We start from the raw sequence: 15113 nt of genomic DNA on the forward strand, positions 1-15113 counted from the left end.
CATGAGAGGCCCTAAGATAACTTCCGGTAGCATGGGACTCCTTGGGAAAACTTCTGATAGCATGAGATTCCTTGGGAAAAACCAAAGGCGCCACTTTGCAAAACAAACAAAAAAAAAAACATGTTTTCCTCACGAGATCCCAGGAGTTAAAAGAAGATAGATCCCTCTCAAAATCAAAGGCTGTGTTCTGTTTTGCATTGTGTTATCTGATGGTTTTGAGTTTTGGGGTATCAAAAATTACTTCCCATTATGAGAGAGCTTTGGTGTGTAGGAACTAGGTAGGAAATATACTTTAAGGGATGGCTAATAGTAGTTATAAATCAGAGAAGCATGCTCTTGGCCACCTGAAAGATATGGAAACATCCCCACCCCACCCCACCCCCAACTAAGAGATGAGACTCCCATGGGGGATGGGCTAATTACAAAATAAGCCGATTGGCTTTGGGGTGCCTTGCAATAAAATACATGATAGAAGCACTACACTGTCTTCCCCCATAGTATCTATATGGTCTTTTCATAAATTGAGCATTGAAATAGAAGTATAGCAAGGAGGTCTTAAAACACTAATCTGCCCTTTAGTAAAAGGGTTATAAAAGGTTTGTAAAGCTTTTACCTCATGGTCAAATTGGTTAAGATTAGATGGAATAATCTATAAGGTTTCATTTAAACAAATTGGGGTTAACATTAACAAACTAATGCAAGGGTAAAATTTGTCTTTGAACAGGATTTCCATGTCACAGTAAAGGCTAATGAAACATTTTTGCCTTTTGAGTCATCATTTTGGCAAAATAATTTATGGCAATCTGGAATTCTATTTCATAACATCAAGTGTTCAAAACCTCTAACATTTAACAGTCATCTCAAAATCAAACTTCAAGTTTCAAAATTTTCCTTCCTGAGGGCTGGCTTTTTGGATCGTTCAGAGGGCCCCTGAAACATTCAGAAAAGAGGTAAACATGATTATTTGACAAGTTTAGTCACATGAGATTGCCAAAATGATGTCCAATCTTATTTTAAGCATATTTTGATGAATATATGTTCCAAAATTATATAGGATTTCCAAAATTCTAATGTCTAAGTATATGCTATCAGTCATAATTAAGGGTAAAATTATTGGTAGCCATTGAGATAAATAAACTTCTTTTTCAGTCGTGTTTTTAACTGTAACTATCATGGAAATTTTGCCATTCACAGACAATTGTTGTCTTGCTTTATTCCTTCTCAAAAAACGGTTCATAACCAAGCTATATTAAGGACTTTAACAGGTGTTCTCAAATGCAGGTTTCTAATAGCTTTTAATAGCTTTGAACACTGTAACACAGGAATAGAGAAAGGACGTACGGGACTCATAAAAAACTGACATATTCGCAGATATCAAGCAAAACAAGAGTTAACTAAAGGGACTGTATTCAGAAAGTTAAAGCAAAATTTTTAACTTTTGCTTGGAATATTGCTGATCCTTGTTTTGTTTTTCAGAGTCAAGGAAACTTATTTTAAGCTATTTATGGCCTTTAATAATTGAGTAAGTTTTACTACTGTGAACAAAATTTGGAGCATGTTTATTTTTCTCTGCCTGGTTCCTCCGGAATTTGGAGACTATCTGTCTGTGAGTACTCTTAACTTATGGCAGTATAGTTGTTTGCATCAGTGCAATAAGAATCCTTTTTTTTTGTTTTTTTTTTTTTGGCAACAGGACACAATTGGGAAAACTGGTTATTTTACCAAGGCTTTGACTGAAAGGATGTGTTCCCCTTTAAGGAATCAAGCTTGACATGCAGAGCCAATGAAAGGCCCTTGGGGAGAACTGGCCTCATACCTTATCTACACACAGTCCCTGCACATGGTTCCTAACCTGTGGTCAGTAAAGAATGTCACTTTCTAACAGGTCTGGGAGCTCTGAGTTTATCTTGGGATCTCAAGAGGTGAGGATCACCCAACTCACAGGTATTTGTGGATACAAACCCATGGTGGACTTGGCTCTGAAAGTCTTATCTGGAAGTCCTTATGGAACAGAGTTTCATCAAAACCAATCCAAAAGGCCTATGTAGAAATAACCATTCTTGCTGCACTTTATGCAAATAATCAGGCCAGGTATAAGACTAAAGTTTATTCTACGAACAACACACACGGTCCTATCATAATTTGTTTTTACCAAAAATGAGAACTGGAGAGAGAAATTGTGCTCCAAAGTTTATCATACATTTGTCATTAAATCCTAGTTTCATTAATTGTCTTTAAGTTTTTTGCCTACATTTTAAACTAACTCTGCTTATTCCTGTAAATCAAGTGATCTCCTGCAGCTTGGAAGAAACAAAAAAGGATGCGTAATGTAAAAATCTGGATCAATATGCTAGTTCTGGGCAATTATCCTGCAAATTCTGCCAGGTAATGAAAGTGAGTAGGGTGCCCATAAACTGGAGGTTTCCTTTTATGGGGAAATAAAACCAATGAACTTCATAAATCCCAAAGGGAAATTGTGTATCTTAGAAAGTAAAATTTTAGATGGAAATTATCTACTACACCACACTTGTGGGAATTGCTATACTCACTCTACTGTTTGTGATAGGGTTATACATGGTAGCACCTTCTAACTGAAATATTGGACAGAAAGTTTCCATTGCTGTATATGTTGCTTAATTATTATCCTTATAGGAGGGATAATAGTTACTGACAAGAAGGAAGCATCAAAGTTTTACTGAGTCTGCTAGGACTTTTTATTGGGATTAGTGATGCACTTCTAAATAAAACATGCTGCTTCTGGATTAACACCTCTACTAAAGTACAGGAAAACCTACAGTTACTTAAAGATCAAATCAAAATCATTAACAAGCTCAGGAAAAATGCAGGCTTTAGCCCTGGGTGGCTACAGTCCCTCTTTAATGAATTCCAGTCTTCTTTATGGAATTGGTTAAACCCTTTATTAAGCCCTCTCTTGCTTATATGTCTTGTATTAATACTTGAACCCTGTATACTCAATACTGTAACTCAAATTGTTTCTTCTCCTCTAGAAGCAACCAAATTCCAAATGGGTGTTATAAACTGGATCACGCGTGGACACGCCCTATTTCCAAGAACCCTTAGACAGACCCCAGGAAGAGCCCTAGCTGCTGTTCCCCATTCAACGTCCATTTTCAGCAGGAAGTAGCCAGAAAAAGTCGTCACCCAATAACCCCCTAACAGCAATTAGGTTGTCTCCATGGGGGGCTGGGGGGAATGTGATAGGAGTTACTAAGAAATTATTTTAGGCAGATAGAGAGGAAAAGCGGTCCTTGGAAAGTTTTCATTTCTTTTAAAGCAGCTCCAGAAAAGTTTCTTGTCAAGAAGGAAAGCCCAGGCCCTTAGAGCCAAGCAGGCAACCTTAGGTATGCAGATACCGGCCATTAGAAATTGGGTCTACCCAACATGATGATTCCCATGGTTGTCCTCTTGCCCTTGCGCTGACATGTGCCTGGCAACATGGCCCCACCTATCCCCACACGGGTAGAACATCATGGTGCCCTGCATTTGCATATTAATAGACTAGGGTGGCAAGGCCAGTTTTTTCCCGGGCTATGTGAATGACATGCCTACTGAAACCAATCCGCTGAGCCCTATGCAAATCAGGCACCGCCTCCTCCAGCCTATGTATACCTGGCTGGTTTCTGCCCCACTTGAGGTCTCCACTCTCAGCTTTGGAGCCCCCGTCTCTGTCTCTGTACAGGGGAGCTTCTTCCTTCTTTCTTCTCCCTTCTTTTTTGCCTACTAAACTCTCCACTCCTTAAAACCACTCCACGTGTGCCCATCTCGTTTTTTTCCAATTCAATGCGAGATGAAGAACCTGGTGTTCCTTCACACATTGGAGCCCTATCAGCAGGGGCTGGACACCAATTGCTCTCTGAAGCTATTCCTAGCCCTAACATTCTTTGTTTTGTTTGCTGTTTTGGCACACTAAGTGTGTAAAGTTTATGAGGCTTAAATGAAATTTTCTGTCTCTACCATTACAATGAGAAAGGAGTAAAATATTTTTATTTTGCAAATCTACTTATGGAATATAGTTTCTAATATACTTATGTTTTAAAAGCCTTCAAAAGCCAAGAGGAAACAAAATACTACCCATTCCTTCTGAGAAATGCACTTCTTTCTGTACCTGATTGTTCTCATAATCCCTGTGTTGATATGTAATGCCACAAAAATGCTCTTGATAGTAACAGGAAAGAGGATCAGACACAGCTAACCGTAAAGGTCAGTTGGCTGGCAGGTGCTTAGTAGATGCAAATAGAGGCCCATTCATGCTACTACACCTGCTCCTGAAAAGCATAATGCAAATACAGTATACTAATTTAGGAGGCAAAGAACCATCTAACATCAAACTTTAAAAGAGTTGGCCACAGTTTAATGACATCCCTGCACACCAGCCTCCACCCACACTGCCCTTCATAAGCCCCTAAAAGGAGATTCCATAGTTCTAAACCTGGTCTACAAACACACATATCCTCATTCTCTCCTTTTCTTCTCTTTGGCAGTTTGGCAAAATCTTTAGGGGGAGTTGGAGGAAACATTAGTGTTTAATCTCCTAAATCCCCTTCATTCAAAGCTTTGGCTTCAAGTTCTACCCCTGTTAAGGCCTCAGGAAGTTCACTGTCGACACCCTCCCTTTGAACTCAGTCACTAAAATGATCTCAAGGCTAAGGGATAGACCACAGCTCCACTTCACAAGTAAGCTTGCAACACCTGATTTAGGAAAGTTTGCTGTGCAGACAGTTGTAGCTCATCCCTTTTACAGACCAATCTTGATTTGTTTCCTAGGGTTAAAATTATTTAAATCAAAATCTCTCAGAACTTTGTGGGCATTTGGTAAATTCATGCTGGGGGAGAACTGGCAGAGACATGTTAAATGCACTTGACCACAAGAACCATTTATTTCATCCAATATTTACCAGTTATTCATTGTACACCTACTATAGATTTTGGCACTGTAGATATGAGAAAATGCTATCCCTGACTCACGAAACTTATCCAAAAAGTAGAGAACAAGGCTCAGCCATTCAAATAAAGCCTCAGTTGAATCAAATAAAAATAAGTTTTAAATATTTAATGTGAAAGTCTTCGAGTATGTTAAGAATGGCTTAACTCAGGGATAGAAATTTTACTGATTGAAAGAAAATTTCAACAAAATACCAATCTTTGAATCTAATTTGACACCCGAAACTAGGCAATCAAACATTAGCACTATTTTTTCTTCTATAGTTTATAATAAAATTTCTCATGAGAAAAAAAGACATTTTTCTTCCAAGCCTGAAAATGGATGGAGAATTTTTAATATTTATTGTTGCTGAGAACAGTAAATAGACTATCCACTTTCACAAATGAAGGCTGGCTTTGAGCCACAGAACATATCTGTTATATCACTCTTTGACACCATATATTAACAGAAATAATAATTTTCCCGCATTGAGTTTCCTATTTACCATCTCTTTAATTATACCCGCTTTAATTGCTGTCATGGAGTGTTGAATTTTATAATCCAAGATACTAAGATGTTTATCTGATATACCACCTCCACACTTAATGTCTTATAATCTCTGCCAAGAATTTAAAAATTTTTGTTGGTCGGACAGGAAGAGGAAATTCCATGGTTTGGTGAACCCAGAAATTGTTCAGTACATCTCGGTTATAAAACTGTGTTAAATACACTTAAACTCTATAATTCTATAAGACCCATTTTAGGTTTATACACTGAGCATCCAGTTCCTCACCGTCCTCTCATAGGTTAACCCTGTGTAATACAAGTTCTGCTCCCATAATTCTATGAACAAAACAGCCCTTGATATATAGGTTTGATTTTTTAAATACATTTTCTTTACTTTATTCTAAATGTAACATAAGGTCAACATAGAAAACTGAAAAGCATAAGGAAAGTGAAATATCTGTAATCTTATCAACCATTGTTAATTTTGCTGTATTCCTAGTTTCTTTTTATACATATCAATATGGTACTTTTGTTTTAATAAAAGGACTGCCAAAAGGCACATGCCAGTTTGGACTCTGCTTTTTCCACTTACAATGATATCATAGTTTCTCATATTTGGTATTCTTTTGCAATATTTGCTGCATAGAATTCCATCACACAAAGGTAACTGCCAGAAATTCTTTATTACTTTTGCTAGACACTTAGGGTTTACATTTTTTCAAAAATTAATCACATCAGAGTTTTGATCACATCAGAGCTTTGATCACAGCTCTGATGATTTCTCTGGGAACTGAGAGCCTAACACAAGTCATGTCCACTTTAAGACTTTTAACATACTGAAAAGTTATGTTACAGAGTGCTGGTCCCCCTGCAACACGTTCACTCACATTGGCTGACGTTTTAATTCTTTGCCAATCTGAGGGGAAGAAATGTCAACTCTTTGTTTGCTCTTTTAATGTCAGTCATGTCCTTTTCCTTTTACCGGTCATTCCGGTTTACTCACAATCCTACAAATCAATCCTGCTCATTCTTAATTTTCCAGTATTGTTCCTCAGATTGTTTCACCAGAAAAGTTCTCCCCCTTATCCACTCTTCACCTAACAATTTCTACCCATCCGAATCCTTCTGCATTTATTGCTTCCAGGAATTTGGCACTTAGGACACCCTTGTCCTTACATTGTTCATGCATGTATATTTCGTCTTCAATAAAAAATTTAGTTGCTCAAGGGCAAGGGCCCCATAGAGTCTCAATATTCTAATTGCCTGGTGTTGCTTAATAAATTAGATTCGGAAGGGTCCCCTCCAGGGAGGGGAGCAAAGGGCAAATTACCTTAGGGGCTGGGAGTGCAGAAGCCAAACCTTTGAGATTGTGAAAACAAGACGGCCCCGAGACGATCCAGTAGCAGGCATTCAAGCAAGAAAAACTCAAATATTGTTCCCAATAATGCCTGACTAATGCCAAATACCAAGTAAGGGCCCAGGCAGTCCTGACAGCCTGCAGTGCCCCAGGATAAAACTAACCCTGAGGGGTGCTAGCCCACGGTGACCCCCTGTCTAGACTCTGGATCTCTATTTTTAGGTCGAAGTGCTTTATTCTTGACTCCCGAATTCCCGGAAACTATTACCAAAGCAGCTTAGTTTTCTCTCCACCCTGCCTGGGTCACAAATATGACGGCGAGCCAGTCCTTTCCCGCAGGACGCCTCAGGCTTCCGGGATGGTAGGCCAAGGGCTTAGCAAGAAAAAAGGCGGCCTCGGGGAACCTGTTCTGTTAGGTTCCGCCAGGGCCTCCCCCTGACCTCTCGAAGGCCAAGGGCTGCCCATGAACGCCGAGGCTCCGCCCCGCGGCCCGCCGATTGGCCCCAGCCGCCCTGGTGACTCGACGCACTTCCGCCCCGGGCGCGGCTCGGGCCACGCCCACCTGTCCTGCAGCACTGGATGCTTTGTGAGTTGGGGATTGTTGCGTCCCATATCTGGACCCAGAAGGGACTTCCCTGCTCGGCTGGCTCTCGGTTTCTCTGCTTTCCTCCGGAGAAATAACAGCGTCTTCCGCGCCGCGCATGGAGCCTCCCGGCCGCCGCGAGTGTCCCTTTCCTTCCTGGCGCTTTCCTGGGTTGCTTCTGGCGGCCATGGTGTTGCTGCTGTACTCCTTCTCCGGTAGGACCCCGGGGCGGGTTCGCGCGTCCGCGGCGAGACTAGAGCTCTCCTCAGTCGGGCAAGAGTCGCGGGGCGGGGCTCACAGCAGGCCGTGCCTGTTTGGGGACAGGGTTCTCTGAGGGGTGCAGTGCTCAGATCCCGGGGGTATGTGGCGGGGAATGCGGGGACCACGCAGAGCCCGAGGTGAAGCTTGTTTGGTGGCGTCGTGTGCGCGGCCAGCATTTACGCAGGATCTGGCTGCGTCCCTAAAAAAAGCGTGAATCGTGTTTTCGGGATTGAGCCAGTCGGCCAGGGGAGCGCGGACTGGGCGCCCTAGGTGAGGGCTTGTTCTGGAGTGCACAGGTGCGTGGGAGTGTTGCTAGGGCCCGTGCTGTGTCCGTGGTGAGAGTTTGCCCTGTGTTCCCTTGGTGCCTTGGTGAGTGGGGTGTTCATTAGGGCTTGGACAGTACCCGCGGTAAGGGTTGCAGTGCGTCTGCTGTGCCCCATGTGCTGGGCTGGGCGAGCAGGGGCCTGGCCAGGTGTTGCTGGGAGCGTGCTGTGCGTAAGTGGCCTGTGTGCAGAGTTCACTGTGGGCAAGACAGCTCAACTGTTTGCTTTGAATGGAGTGAGCGCGGACTCTGGGGCTAGGGAGGGCATGTTGAGTGAGAGCAGGCTCTCGGTGCCTGGGGTTAGAGAGGTGGTAAGGGCGCGCCATGCTTTTTGTGCCTTCTGTGAACAGTCTCCGTGTTACCTGAGCTCCTATTAGTTTGTAAATGGCTGCTTTTTTGGGGGGTGGGTGGGCCATCGAGTCTTCTTCCTGTTCCCAACCAATATAGATAGTATCTGATTCCATTGCCTAATGGCTTTTTGACATTGTTTTCCTTCTTTTCATTACTTTGAGTCATATTTGAGAGATGTGAAACAACCTAAAAAACAATGGTAGCCAAACCTAGTGAGAAATTAGTATCCTAACAAAGGAAGGCAGATAATGTTAATCTTGTTTTCCCCTGCAGCTCATAAGCTAAAGCTTAAGGCCTATCCCACTAAATTTATTTTGTATTTCATTGAATGGAATCAATACTTTTAAAAATGCATGCTAGGCCAGGCGCAGTGGCTCACGCCTGTGATCCCAGCGCTTTGGGAGGCCCAGGCGGGGTGATTGCCTGTGCCCAGGAGTTCAAGATCAACCTGGGCAACATGGCAAAACCTTGTCTCTACAAAAAAATACAAAAATTAGCTGGGCATGGTGGTTTATGCCCGTGGTCCCAGCTACTCTGGGGGCCGAGGTAGGAGATTCACTTGAGCCCAGGAGGTGAAGGCTGCAGTGAGCTGTGATCATGCCACTGCACTCCAGCCTAGATGACAGAGTGAGACCCTGTCAAAACAAAACAAACAAACAAAAAAAAAACCCGCTAAGAAATACATGCTTATTGTGCGATACGAACAGAATCAAAAGACAGCTATTTTTAATATTTTGGCATATTTGTTTCTGCCTTCATGTGCGCGTCATGTGTATCTATGTCCAAATTATATTTAGGATCCAATAACATGTATAGTTTCTACGTTGCATTTTTTTCCTTAGGAGCATTCATTCAACGAATATGGGTCTTGTATGTCTGGTGCTATTACACTGGTAGGCAATAACAAACCATTCCTATTTTCTTGATCCTTTTTTCACTATTTGTTTACACACACATTCATGCAGGAAGATAAGCAGGGACTTTGTTTTGCTCAATGATAAGTGCTCAGTGCCGGGAACACAGTAGATAACCAATAAATTATTTGCTAAAATGTATTGGGATTGGCAGACATTAAAATCCAAAACATAATAGTGACAAATAAATTATGAACCAAGGGAAGTGCTCTGGAGGCAAGCAGTATAATTTTCAGATATAAATCTGACAGCATTTAACAAATGATTGGAGAGAGGGAAGGCTTCTCTGCTCATCAAACAGACTTTGGGGCATCTGTGCTTGCTGTTCCCTCAGCCCAGGAACATTCTCCTCCTGACCTGCTGCAGAAACAGTCTCGCTCTTCTGCAAACTCAGCTGGAATGTTACACCCTCAGAGACCTTCTCTGATCACCCCACCTCGCGACCCCCCCATCTCAGGTTGAACACATACAACCCAGTTCAAGTCCCTCTTCACTTGTAATCACCCTTTTAAAATGACCTTTTCTGTTCTTTGTCTCACCCTGTCAGAATGCAGGGATCCTGTCTGTCTTGTCGCACTTGTGGTTCCAAAAGCCCGATTTGTTTACCTCTGTATCTGTTAAATACCAGAAAATTAAATATACTATTTGGCTGGGGCTTAGAGCCTAGGAAAAAGTTCCTCCTGCCTCCAAGAGGAAGGTTCTTTAAAGAGCTATGCTCAGGATGGTCTTTCTGCGGTACCTAAAAAGCTAGGGCAGTGGCAGCTGAGAGCCAGAAAGGATCTGTCTCCCCTATTTGTTGACTCTGCAGGGCTTCCAGTACTTCAGTCTTGCATCTCACTGATCATTAAAACGTTCATTTTGAAGGAGGGTAATGGGAGTAGGGAGTAGTGGTGATAAGAAGAAAACAAAAGGACTTTTTTTTTTTTCTTTTAAGATTAATGTTTAGAATAGGCTTAGTGCTAGAAGTTCAGCCTGGACAGCATAAGCAGACCTCACCTATACAAAACATGTAAAAAAAAAAAAAAAAAATTAGCCAGGTGTGATGTTGCATGCCTGTGGTCCTAGCTACTTGGGAGACTGAAGGGGGAGGATCACTGGAGCCCCTCATGGTCAAGGCTGCAGTGAGCCCTGATCATACTCCAGCTTGGATAACAGAGCAAGAGACCCTGTCTCAAAACAAAACAAAACACACACACATACACACACAAACAAACAAAAAAAGAAACAAAATAGGAAGCTGAAGAAGATAATGAAAGCGATTTGAAATAGAGGAACATAGAATTATGAAATGAATAGGGTGCAACATGGAAAATAACAAAACTAAGAATGAAGAGAAGGAAAAGCAAGGTTAAGTTTGAGGTTCATAAGGGTAAATCAAGACAGGTATGAAACCTAGAGAAAGTAAAAATGAGAAGTCACGATGCTAGGCAGAGAGAATACGTGAATTAAAATAAACATTCAATTTTTGGAGCAACTCACTCTCACAAGGAGAAGGTTTCGTAAGCAGACAGTGCTGTGCATGGGAGACCTGCCCTCTCAAAGGTAGTTGCCAAATGGTTCCAGATAGTTGAAGGAAACATGTATCAAATTTCAGGCCAGTCTCATTCCTCCAGAAGAGGAGCTGCTTTTTTGGACAAAACCCGCAATCTCCTGTTGTGCGTGGTCTCTTCTGCCTATTTTAGGTGTTTTCCTTATTTCCAGTGAAAGAAGCCAAGATCAGTAAGCACTTACACAGTAGCGTCTCAGTTTCCTTACTGGGCATACTACAATGCAAAGAGAGCAGTCCATATCTGGTCACCTGCCAGGATACCAGAAGACTGGGAGATAGGCAGCACAAGAAATGGCCTAATCTTCTTTCTCCATTGTGCTGTAGAATGATTATTTTCAATATGAAATTGATTACAATATATTCTTCACATTGTTTTGTGTTTGACAGCAGTGGATTTTGAATACCAAATTTTTTTTGAATAGCTACTCTGAGTGACATATTGTGCTGGGTGTTGTGGCCACATGGATGAATGGAGTTGGCCTTGTTAACTATTAAACACAAAAGCATGTGATAGTTACCTGAGAGATCCATGCAGGGGAGAGTCCAGGGGAAGGTGACTGATCACTGCTTCCCAGGGGGAGGCAGAAAATGCTTCCTGGAGGAGATGATGGGTGGATTAAGGAAGATGAGTTGAGCAGGAGTTGTAGCTACCAGCCAGGGAGGAAGGGTATTCAGAGCAGAGGAAGCAAGGTGAGCAAAGGCACCAAGATGTGACACTACTGGACTGCCAAGCTATTCAGTGTGGCAGAGTAGGGCAAAGGAGGCAAGAAAGAAGGAAGAGGATTAAATCACAGGGTGAGTAATTCTGAAAAGCAACAGACTCATCAGGAGTAAACACTCACCATCATAAATTCAGACTTTCACGTTATTACCTGTCCTTTTAGGGCAACTTGAGCCTTTTGTTTGACTTAGCACAACATGAATCCAAACTAGGGTTGTTTTGATTTTCCCAGGCACGGTAGCAGACAATTTCTTGAATACTTATTTGCAGATAGAGTTTGTCAGTGTCAGCATTTCTTGTGCACCCACAAGGTGAGTATAGTAGAAAAAGAAGAACATGGTTCTTGACCCCCAGGAACTTGCCTTTTAAGAGAAGACACCCTGAAGTGACAAGCTGTTATAAGTTAGTGTTTTAAACTATGGAAGAACAATCTGAGCAGAGTACTCTATACTGTAGAAGACTTCTTAGAGGAGAAGTTACTTTTGAAATGAATTTAGAAAAATGTGGGGAAAGATGCATCCATATATATTTTAAGATCAAAGACATTAATGCTGTCTCTTCAGTTTATTGTCGAATGTTTATTCCCAAACAAACCAAAAGCTAATAGGATGTTACTTAAAACATGCAAGTCCCATTTCCTCCACTGCTATGAGCACTCAGGTAAAAGCATGGAACAGTCATTTAAAATCTTGCCAAGGGCCTTTCTGTTTTTTCTGTACTACCTGCTGCCAGACCACAGTCCATGGCTGATGAAAGTGATATCAGTACTTCATCTTCATGTTCCTATTCTCTTATCCCTAGATGCCTGTGAGGAGCCACCAACATTTGAAGCTATGGAGCTCATTGGTAAACCAAAACCCTACTATGAGATTGGTGAACGAGTAGATTATAAGTGTAAAAAAGGATACTTCTATATACCTCCTCTTGCCACCCATACTATTTGTGATCGGAATCATACATGGCTACCTGTCTCAGATGACGCCTGTTATAGTAAGTAAACAAACCTCTTTTTTTTTTCTGCTTGCTCTAGAGATTTGCATACATTTTGGGGTACATATTCCACTACGGTGATGATGATTTTCTTCTTGTAAAATGAGGTTCAAGATAACAATGCATTTTTGCAAGCTTTGAGAAATCAAAATCTCCAAGAAATCATTTTCCTGGCAATAGATTGCCTGGGTGAATATGAATCTTAAGTTTGCCCTTATAATAAGTAAATAATGAAAATTATATTCCCACCCATTCAAAAGAGCACTGCAGAATTTTGATTTTGATTCAGATCTGTTTTATAACTGGATTGAAAACTATCAAAATTATTTTCTTTCAGGAGAAACATGTCCATATATACGGGATCCTTTAAATGGCCAAGCAGTCCCTGCAAATGGGACTTACGAGTTTGGTTATCAGATGCACTTTATTTGTAATGAGGGGTAAGTTGCTCCTTAGAGGAAATAAGGGAAGTGTTAGTAATTTTATTTTTGTTTTGCTTCTCTTCTTAAGCATTCCTGTAAACTTAATTTTGCTTTCTATGTGACAAGTTATACTTCTAGCCAAACAACTCTTGGATGTTTTATGGAGATAGGCAAGATATATAGTAAATAGAAAGTAATTGATATTTAAGGAAAGCAAAACTACTTGCTGTTTCTGACAATAAGTCTGTTGTAAGCATTAAGAATGTAGTAATCATGAGAATTTGTCCTTCACAACTGAGTGTCCCCTATTTAAATCTGCCAACTCTTAGAGTTGAAGTAGGGCTCACAAAAATGAGAAATAGAATTGCCAACTAAAGATACACTTGTATCCAGATGACTCTGTAAAGTGTTATCAGACCAAAACTGACGCGGTTAGCCTTTACCATCATGTTGATCAAAATCTCTCAGTTGAAAAACCTTATTTTTGAGACTGCTACAGTGTGAAGCATCTCAAGAGCAGGTACTGAGCCCTCGGTAATAGCCTTTGTTCTGTAGGGTTTTGAAGTTGTATATATTGGAGATACTAGACATTTAAGATAAATGTGCATTTATAGAGTAAATGTAAGTATTCTGCTATAACAGAATACTTGAGGCTAGGCATTTATAAAGAAAAGAAATGTATTTGGCTCATATTTCTGGAGGCTGGAGAGTTCAAGGGGATGGCAGTAGTGTCTGGCAAGGGCTTTTGTGCTGCATCATAACATGCTGGAAAGTGAAAGGGAAATTTAGCATGTGCAAAAAAGACAAAGCACAAGGGAGGGGGTTCTCGCTTTATAACAACGTGCTCTTATGGTAATGAATCCAAGCCTACAAGAATGAGAACTCATTCCCTGAAGAATTAATGAAGACCCTCTAGAAAGGCATTATACCTCTTAATGACCTAGTCATTTCTTAAAGGCCCCACCACCTCTCAATGCTGTTACACTGGCAATTAAATTTCAATATGAGTTTTGGTAGAGACAAACCAGATTCAAACAATAGCAGTAACACACCATAATATAGAAAAAGTAAGTGAGTCTTGGAGGAAAAATCAGCTGTGACTATGTAAGGCAACTGACAGTTTTTAAAATTTGGTCAAGTAGAAATATTGGAATATTCAGTTGACACATACTGCTTGCTAGGCACACCGAGGGATACCAAAACTTTAAGACAGTGACCTTCCTAAAAGAAGTTCTAACCTTATTGAGAAATAATATATACTGAGAGCAATAAAAGCAAAATACTAAATGAGAAATACCAAATAAGTAGAATTATTCATGATAATTACTCTAAGAGTCCAGAAGGAGGAGAGATTCCTGTGAATTTAAATCAGGGAAGATTTCATTGAGTATAGGGGTATACTTAATGAAAGTATTCTTATACTCAGTGAGCTATTCCTAGAAATACACTCTGTTCTAAATAATATTAATAGAAGCTAAAACTCATGTAGCACTATCTATGTGCCAAATGCTAACTTATCTAATCCCCTAAACAACCCCATGTACTGTTATCCCCTTTTAATCAATTAGGAAGCTGAGTGAAGGAACTTTAAGTGACTTACCCAAGCTCAAGAAACTAGATAAGTTGAGAAGCAGGGACTTGAATCTATCCATTCCAGCTCTAGGGCCTGTTCTCTCTACACAGTCCTTGTCCTTACTGTGCAAAGTGGTGTGAGAAAAGGCACAGAAATGAATGTGTAATGTGATTGCAGGAGGCAGCAAAGAGGCTGGGTGGAAAGGCACAGCAGATTTATTTAGACATCTTTGCTCTTGGCCAATATATATTCAAATGGGGAAACTCTATTTGATTAAATTGCAGATTTATTTAGCACTTTCGTTATATAGTATGTTGTTTAAGAAACCACCCCCTCAAACTACTGTAGTGTAGAAAAGAAACCATATAAAAAATTCCTTCATTATTATGTGTGTCTTATTAATTGCTATACAAAACAGTAACCCTTTCTTTTCTCATTTAGTTATTACTTAATTGGTGAAGAAATTCTATATTGTGAACTTAAAGGATCAGTAGCAATTTGGAGCGGTAAGCCCCCAATATGTGAAAGTAAGTAAATTCTTTTTTTTTAAATTTAGACCAGTAGTCCTCAAAGATTTTTGCCTCCTTTACACCCTTTACACTTTAAGATTAACAAAGATCC

General features: G+C 40.7%; 1 protein-coding gene across 17 annotated transcripts in view, besides 5 other annotated features; it reads left to right on the forward strand.

Moving 5' to 3' along the window:
• Positions 1696-1991: a transcriptional cis regulatory region, noted in NCBI's record as "candidate enhancer chr1.11362 targeted for multiplex CRISPR interference". NCBI's record gives its function as "positively regulates CD46 gene expression with high confidence in K562 cells {active_cell/tissue: K562}" and the evidence as "EXISTENCE:mutant phenotype evidence [ECO:0000015][PMID:30612741]".
• Positions 3419-3713: an enhancer, noted in NCBI's record as "tiled region #12474; K562 Activating DNase matched - State 5:Enh". NCBI's record gives its function as "activates a minimal TATA promoter and a strong SV40 promoter by Sharpr-MPRA in K562 cells {active_cell/tissue: K562}" and the evidence as "EXISTENCE:reporter gene assay evidence [ECO:0000049][PMID:27701403]".
• Positions 7190-7299: a silencer, noted in NCBI's record as "silent region_1774". NCBI's record gives its function as "represses an Ori minimal core promoter by ATAC-STARR-seq in GM12878 lymphoblastoid cells {active_cell/tissue: GM12878}" and the evidence as "EXISTENCE:reporter gene assay evidence [ECO:0000049][PMID:35858748]".
• The window catches only part of CD46 (CD46 molecule), a 43479-nt gene continuing 35698 nt past the window's right edge, over positions 7333-15113 (forward strand). For 11 of the 17 annotated variants that reach the window (NM_172359.3, NM_172351.3, NM_153826.4 and 8 more), the window contains exons 1-4: positions 7349-7604; positions 12309-12497; positions 12835-12937; positions 14934-15019. In NM_172359.3, coding sequence (NP_758869.1) covers positions 7508-7604; positions 12309-12497; positions 12835-12937; positions 14934-15019 — 475 coding nt within the window. In that variant the 5' untranslated portion in view covers positions 7349-7507. Of the gene's footprint in view, positions 7605-12308; positions 12498-12834; positions 12938-14933; positions 15020-15113 lie in introns of all 17 variants that reach the window. The other 6 variants (NM_002389.4, XM_011509563.3, XM_047420888.1 and 3 more) reach the window with 1 other exon arrangement.
• Positions 7400-7609: an enhancer, noted in NCBI's record as "active region_2449". NCBI's record gives its function as "activates an Ori minimal core promoter by ATAC-STARR-seq in GM12878 lymphoblastoid cells {active_cell/tissue: GM12878}" and the evidence as "EXISTENCE:reporter gene assay evidence [ECO:0000049][PMID:35858748]".
• Positions 7879-8236: a silencer, noted in NCBI's record as "fragment chr1:207925929-207926286 (GRCh37/hg19 assembly coordinates)". NCBI's record gives its function as "represses an EF-1alpha promoter that drives an FKBP-Casp9 reporter gene in an ReSE screen in K562 erythroleukemia cells {active_cell/tissue: K562}" and the evidence as "EXISTENCE:reporter gene assay evidence [ECO:0000049][PMID:32094911]".

Source organism: Homo sapiens, chromosome 1 (genome assembly GCF_000001405.40).
Source record: "Homo sapiens chromosome 1, GRCh38.p14 Primary Assembly".
In the NCBI taxonomy this organism is placed as follows: domain Eukaryota; kingdom Metazoa; phylum Chordata; class Mammalia; order Primates; family Hominidae; genus Homo; species Homo sapiens.